Below are 13,879 nucleotides of genomic sequence, written 5' to 3'. Positions count from 1 at the left end.
GTGCCTTTCTTGTAATTTTCTCCAAAATAAAGTCTCTGAGAACATCAATGGTTCTCCTTAAAGCTAAGTTATAAATTCATTCACCATTTATTTCATCTTCCAAAATAGTTCTTTTTTTTCTGAAATCCCAGGAATCTAGACTCAACCAACACTGGAGATAACTGCAAGATATTCAGACTCTGAACATGTGAAAGATGTGGGCCAAAACCTGACCAAACTTTTATGTTAATAACAATAATAATAGCTAACATTAATGGAACACTTAGTTTGACTAAGACATAAGTGCTCTAGATCCACTCGATGTCGTTAGAGGTAGATACATCACCACATCCACTATGTTAACTCCACCTCTACTACACCGTGGCAAGGATGTCAGCAGTTAACCTGGTAGCAGGAAGACTCATATTAATAAAGAATACCCTGATTCCAAGGTAGTGACTGGAATAAGACATCTCATTTGAGAGGAAATAGTAGTGAACTGGGTCCACAGGTTCTGCTCCCAATTTGACCACTTTCAAACACGTGTGATCAATAGTACCATTAAGCTTCATTTTCTTCTTCTACAATACTGGAATAATGCCACCTCACAGAGTCATCATTAAGAAGCGAATAATGACCAGTGGCATGTAAATTATTGAAAAACTATTTACAAATATACGTTCGAATTATCATAATTTCTGCATTTGTTGGCAAAACCTCACCTGGAGTTATTTTGGTTATAAACACCAATGCCAAATTCACTCCACTGAGATGGATCATTCTGGAAAGGGGAATCAAATGTAATTTAGAAATTATTTGAGGTTATTTAAATTCAGGAAAAGAGACTCTGCATTCAAAATGCATTTTCTTTCTGTCATTGTTCAGTAATGCTCATCATTTTCCTTATATATAAAAACCATATTTAGTTAGAGACTCTTTCCCACATGGTATTCAAGAACTCTCTAGGCAAACCTGATCTAGTGCAGTAGCTAATTTGAATCATCTGAATAAGCCATGAGTTATCAACTTCAGAGACCACTGAATGAATGCAAGTTGCCCAGCAGCTAAAACATCAAAGTCAAACAAATCACAACATTCAGAAGAAAAATATATTTTTCATATTGATTTTTTCTTATATGTATGATGTTCAATAAATCACATCACTGGTATTCACTAACATAAGTCTTATTCTCCTAGAATACAACATCAAATTTAATAACCACTTTTGTTCAACATAGAAGATGAAAGTCAGTTTCTATTGCTCTAGGCAGACTGTATAGTCAAAACACAAGAAACATCAGAGAAAAGGAAAATGGAGAAAAATGCATTAGATATTAATCTCATATTCACTGGGAAAACAAAAAAATCTTTACCTGTTTTTCCTTTCAGAGTTTAAAAAGATGTAAATTTTCTTTTGCCCTACCTACTCTATAATTCAGAGCTCTTTATCCAAAGCCCTTCTTTTTTTACCTTATTTCAGCCATGAATGTCTCTCAAATATTGTCAGTATTAAACAAAAAACATGTCTCTTCTTGACCCTATTTTATTCACACCTCTTGATCTTTCATTTGCTTTCACAAAAATTATTCAACATTCACAGATACACTAGATCCCAAAGATAACATACCCTTGTCACACTTACCTTTCTAATTATAACCTGGTTCTCAGATCTGAAACTCTACTTATGTTTTGTGCCTTTCTTCTAATTTTCTCCAAAGTAAAGTCGCTGAGAACATCAATGGTTTTCCTTAAAGCTAAGACTAAGTTATGAATTCATTCACCATTTATTTGATCTTTCAAAAGAACTATCTTTTTTTTGAAACCTGATGAACCTAGACTCAAACAAATGATCTAATGTATGTACAATGCTTAGAACATTCTTTGGCATATAGCACAAGTGTTTGCTGCAATTAGTGTTATCATGAACACTTATTGCTACTTTCTCCCCTCCCTCATACATATTCCTTCAAAGTTGTACTCTACTGTCTTGCTCTATATGCTTGTGGGCAGAGGTGATGGATGTACAAAATATGTTAGTCATAATCATTGGTTTCCAGAAGTTAAGAGTTCTCTAGGAAAGAGATATAAATGAATAACTATACAGCAATACTACAAGTGGCTACTAACCATAGTCAGAAAGTGATACACTGGAAGTATTATCATATGAAAGAAAAAAGAACACTGAGTTTTTCCACATAGCAGAACTATGACCAACAGATTGAAGTTATAAGGAGGCTGACTTTGGCTCAGGATGAGGAAGAGCATTCTACTCATCAAGGCTGTCCACTTATAGAGCCAGTGGCCTTGGGAATCAGTGACAACCATAGTAATGAGGAGACAATCTGCTAGGAATATTGTAAAAACTAAGGAGATCAGTCATCAAGATTCTAGAACAATTTGCTAATAGCAGAGTAATAATGGATGTGAAATGTTTTCTAAGGTCGTGTGTGGTGTGTGTGTGTGTGTGTGTGTGTAAAACAGTACAATTAGGCTGACAGTAGAGCAAGATGTAGCTACAAAGAGGGTGAAAGCTGAGGCCAGCCAGGTGACCTTGGCTGTGGTCAGGAAATCTCTACTTGTCTCATGGGAACACTTGTGGAAAAAGAAAGAAAGAAAAAAAAAAAGAACCAAAGAGGAGATTTGTTTTGATACAAAGATATTTTTACATCTCATTTACAGTGAAAGATTGAAGGCATAGGTGGGCTATGAATAGCAAGACCATACAATTACTTGTCCAAACTAGGACACTTGAAAGTAAAAGAGGCATTCATAGTAATTACGCCATGAACACAGGCATAAAGAAGTACATATGGTCACCCTAGCTATCCACGAGTAATTAAACAAAAAGAAATGTGGGCCAGCGTTTGCCTGAGACAGAAATTATAGCCAGGATCTTGGGCAAAGATCTCAGAAAAAAAAAATGAAAGTAGAAATTGTTAAAGCAGTGGTTCCTAATTGGGAGTGATTTGGGGCCCCAGGGACCATTTGGTGATGTCTGAAGACACTTTTCAGCTGTCACAAGTGGGGGTGGGGGAGTGCCGTCAGTGTCCAGTGGGTAGAAGTAGGGGTGCTGGGATGCACTCTGCAACACACAGGACAGCCCACACAACAGACATCTTGTCCAAACTGCTAGTAGTGCTAAGATGAGAAATTATTAAAATTTCTGTATTACATTTGTATTAAAATAAAAAGACCTCACTGTAAAAACATGAAACATCTGCACTGTAAAACATTAAAGACAAAAACTGAAGAAAATATTTGCACCTTATAAGTCAATGCAAACTATATACAGCAATAGCCCTTAGACAAAGGCAAGCAGCCCAACAGCAAAACAGGCAAACTCACCAGCAAACAACTGACCAAAAAACCCCTAAATGGCCAATAAGCACTAAAAAGTAAACACACTCCCACCTCGTAAGTCATCAAAACAACTTGAATTAAAAGAACATTTCTGATGTTACCTACAAACCGAGCCAAGATTTTCCAATTCACGGCATTAATGATGAGCACTTTAACACACTGACAAACAGAAGTGTAAGTTGATTTCAAACAAACAAAAGACTGGGAAGACATTTAGTTTTACTTGAAGTAGTTTTTCTTAATTTTAACTTTTTATTTTGAAAACTTCATAATCTCTTGACATGACCACATATTTTTAGAAAACTATCGAAATAAATAAGGATATATGCAAAGATTTAGCTAAAAGAATTTCAGCTCAGCATTGTTTACATGGACAAAAACTAGAAATCCCTAAAATGTCGAATAAGGAGAAACTGATTAAACAAATCAAAGTATATCCATATACAACTCTTAAAATCATGCTATGCTGGCTGGGTGCAGTGGCTGACACCTGTAATCCCAGCATTTTGGGAGGCCGAGGCGGGTGGATTACTTGAGGTCAGGAGTTCAAGACCAGTCTAGCCAACATGGTGAAACCACGTCTCAACTAAAAATACAAAAATTAGGTGGGCACGGTGGCGGGCGCCTATAATACCAGCTACTTGGGAGGCTGCGGCAGGAGAATTGCTTGAACCCAGGAGGTGGAGGAGGTTGCAGTGAGCCAAGATTGCACCACTGCATGCCAGCCTGAGTGACAAGAGCGAAACCCTACCTCAAAAAAAAACAAAAACAAAAAAACATGCTATACCAAATACTGACATGGCGAGATGTCCATGACATACTATTTTATGAAAAAATATACCCAAACTATATATATGTATGATATATATGTGAAGATATCCATGTTAAATATGTTTTATATATGTTATATATATGAAGATATGTGTGTATGTGAAGAAGTCTATAATAATATAAATCAAAATGTTAACAAATGGATCTATTTGGGTGGTGAGATATAGGCACTACAAAAGCAAGATATTTGTTTGTTTCCAGCTGTATCTCTAACACAGAACAATGTCCGGCATAAAGGAAAAGTAAAATAAAATTTGTTATTGTTATTTTTGCTTATCTATATTTTCTCACTGATATGCAATGAAAACATTATTTGCATGATACATGTTTTAAATGTTGCCTTCTAAAAGAATAATTCAATAGCAAAACAAAATGTTTTACACATAGAAATAGAAGGAATACCACCTACTTTAAGGATTATAAGCCTTAAAGAATAATTTATGTAAATATGCTCTGCAAATTCTACAGCACTGTATAAATGTAGAAAATTAATTATTTTGTTAAGATCATTTATTCTGAAGTTAAAGCAGTTTCATGTGTGCTTTAACTGGCAGCCATCCTCCCAGCAATTTCATTTCCAATAATTTGTCCTTTAAAAATAATTAGAGATCTGTGCAGTGTTACTTATAGAAGCAAAAAGCTGCAACAATGGAGAACTGGTTGAGAAAGTTGAGGCATATCCATAAAATGGAATATCATCTCACCATTAAAATGTATCTTGTAGAAATGTATTTACTGACATACACACTGACTGACATAACCAGTCTAAAAAATCACGTATATGTAATCTAGGTAAAATAATCCCAATTATAGCTTATTATAACACTATTATGTCAAATCCTCAAAATAATGTTATAGTTTTTTGATAATTCTTATCTTTTTAAATTTGTTAATTCAGCTATTCAGTTTGTCACTTGTTTCTCAAGACTTGATCAGTTAAACCATCCACAATATTTTATCTTTCAGCTGCAAAATTCAAAACATTTTATGGATTTTTCCATCCTTTGAAGGCATATGTGCTTTAAAGCCACACTACGGTTTCAAATGAAGCATGTGTACGTATTACAAAATATGTACGTAATTTACTCTAACATTTTAATGTTAGTGGTTTCTTACACAAATCTCTTTATGCACTAGTCACTTCTTCATAATTCAGAAGCTGAATTTCATTTTCTCTCCTTAAAACAAAAGTAAAAACAGCTTTCCAAAGCTTTATTTTTTCTACTTTCACAGAGATCACAGAAATAGAGTACAAAGAATACTGAAAACTAAATGAATAACTGCTAAAAGAAAATATTAATAAATACAAAATATAAATAAAATTTGAATCTTTTTATAAATACGAACAGAAGGAAAGTTTTCCTCCCATAGAATTTTATTAGAAGTGAAGAACTTTTATACAGACCAACCGCATATATGTATTTTTAATTTGAACACTAGCCCTCTAAAAAAAGTATAGTAAACTCTTCCTTTTTGCTAAGGACTATTTCTTTATTTATATGCTGCCCAAAAACTCTGTTGAACCCTTATTGCCCAGTGCTCTTTGTTCTGCTTACCCTATTTAAAAACACTAATAAAAATGATTTTGCATTCCTTTATTTTAAATGTATAAGATTGCCTAACACTGGAACTAAAATATCCCTAACATTATTGGGAAATATTATGATTTGGGAAGCTGACTGATACCATAATGATAACACTAGGATTCTACTCTACTGGGAATCGTTGAGATTTTTAAAGTGTTGTGATGCTTCCAAACGAAATCACAGCCTGAGACAAGTGGAAGGAAGCAATATGAGGGGTACAAAAAGATGGAGAAATTCACTTGTACCACAAGCACTGATGAGGAACTCACGTCACTCAGGACACTGCAGAGGGCTGTGTGGGATGAGTGACACATGGAGGAACATGACACGGAGTTCCAGCGGAAGATCAGGAGTGCTGTGTAAGTGGGATGCGGAGCAGGGCTGGAAAACCAGCCTAAGGAGGAAAGAGGCAGACACTGCACCTTTTCAGGACCAGAAAGAATCCCAACATGCATTCTGTGGCTTTCCCCCGTATTTTTAAAATTTACAGAATCCAACTCGCTCCCTATAGCAAAAATACTTCTACAGACTAAAAATCAAGCAGCCACCTAAACACATCCTTTTAAAATTTCCAAAACCTTGGCTTATGTTCAATTTCTGTCTAAATGTAAATCATTCAATTTTTATTCCTCCAAATACTTTCTTGATCCAACTGAGAGGTTTTTTTCATGATAAATTCTTGAGCTACCTATTTTTGAAAAGAAAAGGGGTGGGATGAGAGGGGAGGAGGAGCAGCTCCAACTCAAACAACTCTTATTTTTTATAATATTTAGGAGCTTCTGAACCATTTGATGCTTTTTAGTTATTTTTTCTCTGAATGTCCATATTTTATTTTAAACATTTTCTTTGAATCAACATAATTTAAATCCTTAAGATAATTAGTATCTCAAGGATAAATGTGGCTTTTCAATTTACGAAAAGGAGGCTGAAAACTAGAATGTGCTCCTGGCTTAACCTCGGGTCCCAGATGTATAACCAAATAGAGGTAGTAACTTTTAAAAATAAAAAATAGACCCAAATGGACAAATAAATCAATTTGGCTTATATTGCTTTTCATTCGCATTTTCATTAAAAATATGTTCATGGTGGAATCATGTTTATTCTCTTTACCAGAAAACATGGGAAGGTAGCAAAAGGAAGAAACTACTTGGAAGAGATGGTGTCCTGCTTTATAGAAGGGGATGATCTTTTTGGTAAAGTGGTAGCACTATTTGAACCTCACTATAAGATTGTTTTGACATCCAAAATAACAACAACAACAAAAAAACTTATTTGAAATAGATTGATCCTTCTCCAAATAGCTGACAATATATTGTAGAACCATAATGACTATAGGCATTATCACATTAAATTCACGTATTTTGCACACTAGCAACTTATATGTCCACTCAGCCAAGCTGTTTTCCTGCTGGTAACTTGAATTCCTGTTTTAAAACTGAGCCAACTCCTCTTGGGTGTTCTGGTAATGAAAACGATTTTCCTTAAGTTTTGGCCAAAATTTTTCACTATAATATCTTATGAAAAAGCCACAACGTTAAGGCAGACCACAGTGACTAGATGGGAAAAAAAATTATTTGGGAGAATTATTTTGATGTTTAAAATAATAGGGGGGGATGTATTAAAAATAATATGCTAATTTTGGGGTATAACCGTATTCCATATACCAAGTTAACTGAGTACTAAATTATGATTTTTTAAAAATAGCTGAATATGCATAGTTAAAATATATTCTGTTCTTTATAGCAGTGGTTTAAAATGCAAAGAAATCAAACCAAGAAAGAGTAGTGCACAATGACAAGCTCAGGGAAATGTATCTGAAATGGATAAACAAAGATACCACTAAGAGTAGAAAGTTATGACAGCTCAAAAACATGTTTTAACCCAAGGAATCCTAGTCATTTGAAGCATCTAATCTACTGCTCTCTCACCTGAACATATCTGAAAACCATTCACCTCAAAAGAAAAGACAAATTGGTTATGAAACCCACAGGCTCCTATAGGATATATAGTGTTACAAATGCTTCTCCATCAATATATGAGTTTGGAAGGTATTTAAAAATATGACAATACAGCCATCTAGGAAAAAGTGACAATAACATAATTTAGATGAAAGTGAGAAACTGACCTGATTGATGGAGTTGGCAGCACAGGATGCAAGGCCTGTCCCAACAGAAGTAAGCAGGAAACAGGGCCAGTCAAAAGGGCCCGGAGCCAATGCAAATCCAGCTGCAGTGGTACTTACAACCAGAGCTGCGATACAGAAACAGAGCAGACACACTGTTACCAACAGGAGTCCCAACTGTAAAGGCCAGAACGACAAAAAACAAGCCATCCTTCATATAAACTAATTGATTATATTAATAACACAAAGTACAGGCTGATCTTTGGCTTAAAAAAGATCCACATTTTTCTGATTATAAAAACTACATGTACTAATTATATAAAAATGTTAATTTTCTTTTAATTCCATACTCAAGAGAAAAAAAATAAGGTCAGTCTTCCAGATTCAATCATTCACTTATTCATTCAACAGACATTTACTAAATACCAAATTTGTAATCAGTACGCACTGCCAGGGATAAAGATGTATATGGTCTTATTCTTGCTCTTGACTAATTTGAAAGGGAGACGGCAGATATGCCTTAATAACTGTAACACAAGACAGCAAATAACAAGGATCCCAAGTCTGTGACAAACTGCAGACAAGCCTAGGAGTGGTCTTGCCTATAAGAGATGATGGTCCCAGCGGTCAGAGAATGCGTAGTGGGAGATGATAATCCTACAAGCCACCAGCAGGAACCAAGGGAAGAGGCGAGGTACAGAATCAAAGCCAGACATTTCAAGCTTCCACCAAGGCTGCTCCTTTTCGGTAGGCCCTGGCGCTTCTTTCCTGGGGTTTACAGAAGCTGACAGGGCCAGAAAGTGTCCAAGAGTGGTGCTGATATGCAGCTGTAGAAATCCGCTGGAAAAAGGATCACCATTGGTGGGCAAATCTGGGAAAGCTTCAAGAAGATGACATTTAAGTTGGATTTTCTAGAGAGGATGAAGAGAAAGGAAGAGAATGGTAGGGTGAGCAACATTACAGGTACATGGATAATTCCAAGAACAGGCACAAGGGAAGGGAAGACCTATGTCAAGAATCCAAAGTATGCATGATACCATCTACCTAGATTCTTCAACCAAAAACCTAGGAAGCATATTTGATTATCTCCTTTGTCACTCGCTATATCCCGTTCATTGCAAAGTAGTGTCTGTTCTATCTCTACACTATGTTTCAAACCCATCACACTGCCAGCATTTAGTCCAGCAGTTCTTAACCAGGGGTAGTTTTGCCCCCCAGGGGACATTTAGCATTGTCTGGAAACACTTTTGATTGCAGGGGAGGGTGCTACTTGTCTTCTAGTGGATAAAGGCTGAGGATGCTTCTTAACATCTTATGGTGCATAGGACACCCCCCAACAACAAATAATTTTCTAGCCTAAAATGCCAGTAGTGCTGAGCTTGAGAAACCCTAACATAGTCCAAGCAATTGCCATAAGAGCTTTACCCCCTAACTGGTCTCCTTGCTTCCATCTTGCTTCTCTTCAGAGTGATGTTTTTAAAATGAAAACAGATCAAATCACATCGCTGCTTTGAACATTGAAAATTCTTTGATGCTATACCTGATATAAAATGTAAACTCTTTCTCTGCCAGTAAGTGCATCTCACACTTCTCTTTAGCTCAATCACTATTATCCATTCATGAGACTTCTTCTATTCTTTGAGCATTCCAAGCTCTTTCTTGTCCCTGGGTTCTTGTACTTTTGTTTCATTTGCCTCTTTCCACAGCTGGCTCCTTCTCATCCTTCAGATCCCATTGGAAATACTACTTGTTAAGGGGAACCTTCCTGATGACCTCATCTAACGTAAGTCTCCCCAGTTACTCCCTCGCTCACATCCTCCTTTTATTTCCTTCATGACACTTACTACACTCTGACTCCTCACTGGAATATAAGCTCCATGAAGGTAGGACCCCTGTCTGTGTAGTTCACTGCTGTATTTGGGGGGGCTATCACTGAGCTAGGCATAGAGCAGTATTTACTGGAAAAACAGGAGGAAAGGTGGCAAATGTCAGACTGCAGAATAGCAAGCTGAGGAGTTTGTAGTTTGGTTGGTTGGCAGTGCAGAGTCACTGAAAGTCTAATGCAAGAAGGCAATCTATAAGTGGAAGTATCTGTGCACTGTGACTTAAGAGAGGCAGAGAGTTTTCCAGAGAAACATGTTAAGAGGCCATGCCATTAATTCATTGTGAATAAGGGTTGTAAAAATGGGATATTTTGATTAGAGAATTGTTAGGACCTGGTAACTGGGAGAGGTAGGAAGATAAAACAACAAAAAAGAATGAATGGAAAAGTGCACTTTACCATTTACCATGCACTTGGGTGACATGGAAAGGAATGATAACATTAACAGAAGTAAGGACATTAGGGAAAGAGGTGATGAAGCTAGCTGGCCTTAGGAACATGTGCTGTTTTGAGAAACCGTGGGACATCCAGGTAGAAATATAAAGAACGCAGACGAAATATGAAACTAAAGCTCAGGAGGGAGACTTGAGAGACTGGAGAGGCATGAAGCTCTGGAGTTGCCTAGAGGCCATGCCTGAGCCTGAGGGAATGCATGAGATCAAGGGGCAGCATGCATGATGCAGAGAAGTATGTGAAAAAGTCAGACCTTTACAGATGGGGGGAAGGAAAAGAATGAAAGACACAAAGAATATTTGGGGACATGCATCAAGACAATAAGGTGGCATGGGTGTCCAGTAACCATGAGGGGGGCTACAGCAAGCAGAACAGGAAGGCACCACTATTGGCATCAGGAGGTACATGCTGGAGAAACTGGTAGTTCCTCCTAATAATCATGAATTGGCTGGTATGTTCTTCAATCTAGTCTTATCAGCAACTTACAATAATCCTTTATAGTTGTACCATATGAACAAGCCCCTTCCCTAATATCTAGATGGGTCACGGATTTCTTGATATTGCTAAATCAAATGAATACTATGGCTGGGTTCGATGGTAGTTCGTAAGGTGCCTTAAGTATAACTATCTCAACTCAAAGTACCTAGAGCACAAGTATTTTGGCAAGGGGTCCTTCCTTTAACTCAGTTGTTCCCAAATATGGTGTGCATCTGAATCTCCTGGGGGAAGATTTACCTCCAGAAACGAGAGACATGCACAGATATAAGTAGAGAGCAAGGTTCAGGAATGAGGGTGCAGGTTCGGATAAAGATTACAGGAAGATGAGCAGATTAGGAGCTGAAGGCAAACGAGAGGCTAATCAGAAGTCATGAAGACACACACATTCAGGAGAAAGGTAGCATGGCTGAGGTGGGGAGTCTAGGCCAGAAAGCATGTGTTGTCCCCTCTCACATCTCCTCTGCTTAGGGGTACAGCCTGTTCTGGCCCATATATGCTACTACAAGTCATAACACAACAAGTACACACAAGGTACCTAACAGCAGCAAAGAATCACATGGAGCAGAGGGCAGCAATCAAAGGTAGAATACTCAATTTCAAAGTAAACATTCTGGAAAAAGTTTTAGCTATCTAATTCTGTTAACAACTTATGCCCAAAGGAAAATGCCATGGTGATTACTGACTCTGAAAACAGTAGTCGCAGGTATATTTTACCCTTGTGCCAATGGGGAACGAACAGTCTCTCCTGTCATAGGCCATTTAGTTTTACCTGCACACATTTAAAGACCATCAAGAAAGGCACTATTTTTAAAGCAAACAACAAAGCTCCATTTAGAATACTCAAATAGCACCCATCTTTGAGGAAGCTTTTTCGTTCTTTGTAGATATCACACCATAAATTGCAAAACCTCCTGGACAGGCCAGTGTTAAAGAACAAGAGCCATTTTTTTTGCAAGACTCAAGAGCTCTCCAGACTGGTTAGGCGACTCTTCACATATTGCGTCAGTGACAACCAGGACTAGAAGAAAAATCCTTAACATCCAGGCTGCCTCTCTTTTGTATCAGAATTCTACCATGCAGAAGAAAGGCTGATAGTATCAATGGGAGAATTTGAGGGAAAAGGAGACTGCAGAGGTTTCTCTCTTAAAATCAAACTAAGTAAACTGCTTCTCTCCATAGAGTAAATCAGCCAAAATAATCTGACTATATTTTAAGGCCTTGAACACAAACGTAGCGTTGTTTACTACTCATAAACAACTGTAATAGTTAAAAGAAAATCTACTATAACATTCTCGATAAACAGTTAGTAAAATCTAGAGTCACAAAAATAGAAGACTTCTGTATCCATAGGTTCCACATCTGTGGATTCAATCAACCTTGGATCAAAAATATGTGGAAAGAAAATAGTTACATCTATAATGAGTATGTACAGACTTTTTTTTTCCTGTCATTATTCTGTAAACAATACAGTACGACAATTATTTACATAGCATTTACATTGCATTAGGTGTCATAAGTAAACTAGAGATGGGATACTAGAGCCAATCCCCCAGGGATACTCCAAGGGACGATGTATTATACTTTAAATATCTCTAAATATCCAGATCCACATTTTGTATTGTGCTTAACAAATTTTTTTAAGTCATTTACCATCCCAGTGGACAAGAAAGCCCCATAATCACTGAACTGTCAATAATAGAAATGTTCTAAAAAGAAAGTTCATTTTGTTTAAAATTGAAAAGGGTATGTAGTTACATGACAGGAAAACTGTTAATCAGAGGAGGAAGTATCTTGTTATTCTTTTTATTCACCCCAGAGCTTGATGGGGTGATGAAGCACAGAGAAAGTACATCAAATGTTTGACTGAATCTACTGATAAATTGAGAAGAGACAAAAAGTGATTTATAAAAAGCTAACAAAGGGACAAGAACGGTGTTTTATAGTAAGACATAATAATGATGAAATTTACAAAATGGAAATACTACCTAATTTTAAAATGTACAAATTGTAAATGGTAATACATGTAAAAATAATAACAACTATTACTAGAGAGAAGGAAATTTGAATTTTGTAACACATTTCTAAAAAAAAAAACCCAAAAGCTAACAAAGAATGTATTTATACTTATTTCATCAAAGCAATTAATTTGAAAAAGGCAGTGAGGACGGATAAATTGTACGAGTAAAATTGACCAAAGCGATTTTCTCATACAACACTGCCATAGCTGTAATTAAACTTTCCATTGATTTCCTGGGGTTCATTACATGGAATCATTTTGTAACAGCAAAATCTCATTAAAAGTGAATGCAATCTATTCCCTCATTAATAATACCTGAAATTATATTTTATTTGGTAATCTCGTATTCTGCCCTTTCACAAATAAACATAAAATCAATGTTGCCAATGAAGCATGACCCATCTAATATGGGCCCAGAGGCACTGCACTGCAGGCCCAGGAATGACTCTGGGAGCCCATGGGAGAGTAATATTCCCAAACCAACAGAGCTTGACTCATCCCCACTCCTGGGTGGAAAGCCAGGTAGAGAACCTCAAGCTTCTCCATGAAAAGAGATCCAGTAGCAGCCCTCACTAAAGATGGTCCTGACTACTAGGTCCAATCTGTTGTCCAGGATTCATTTGCTCCAGATGTTCTCTTATCTGCCTCTGCCTTCTCCAGGAATAAGTTCCCACTATGTTTCCCACAATTTAAAAAACAAAACAAAACAAAACAAAAAAATTTTTTTGCCAGATGCCATGGCACATGCCAGTAATCCCAACACTTTGGGAGGCTGAGGTGGGAGGATCCGTTGAAGTCAGGAGTTCAAGACCAGCCTGGACAACAAAGTGAGACCCTGTTCTACAAAAACTAAATTAGCCCAGCTCAGTGGCATGTGCCTTTAGTCATAGCTACTTGAGAGACTGAGGTGGGAGGATGACTTGAGCATGGGAGTTCAAGGCTGCAGTGAGCTATGATGGTGCCACTGCACTCCAGCCTGGGCAACAGAGCAAGGCCAGCTCAAAAAAAAAAAAAAAAGAAAAAAAAAAAAACACACCTACATTTAAAAATTTTGAAACAATCACAATGAGATATGCCCTGGGCTATGGTCTGAAAGTTGGTCCCCTCAGAAATTCATGTTGAAACTTAATCCCCAATGTGGCAGTACTAAG

At 37.0% G+C, this 13,879-nt stretch overlaps 1 protein-coding gene across 1 annotated transcript in view; it reads right to left on the bottom strand.

The window, feature by feature from the left end:
* Nucleotides 1-13,879, bottom strand: part of COX10 (cytochrome c oxidase assembly factor heme A:farnesyltransferase COX10) — a 139,174-nt gene that overhangs the window by 98,554 nt on the left and 26,741 nt on the right. Inside the window, exon 4 of the mRNA NM_001303.4 lies at nucleotides 7,882-8,006. Within this exon, the coding sequence (NP_001294.2) occupies nucleotides 7,882-8,006 (125 nt within the window). The remainder of the gene's footprint in view (nucleotides 1-7,881; nucleotides 8,007-13,879) is intronic.

Source organism: Homo sapiens, chromosome 17 (genome assembly GCF_000001405.40).
Source record: "Homo sapiens chromosome 17, GRCh38.p14 Primary Assembly".
Classification (NCBI taxonomy): domain Eukaryota; kingdom Metazoa; phylum Chordata; class Mammalia; order Primates; family Hominidae; genus Homo; species Homo sapiens.
Note: the sequence above shows the minus strand (reverse complement) of the source record. Positions and strands in the feature narration are given on the sequence as shown.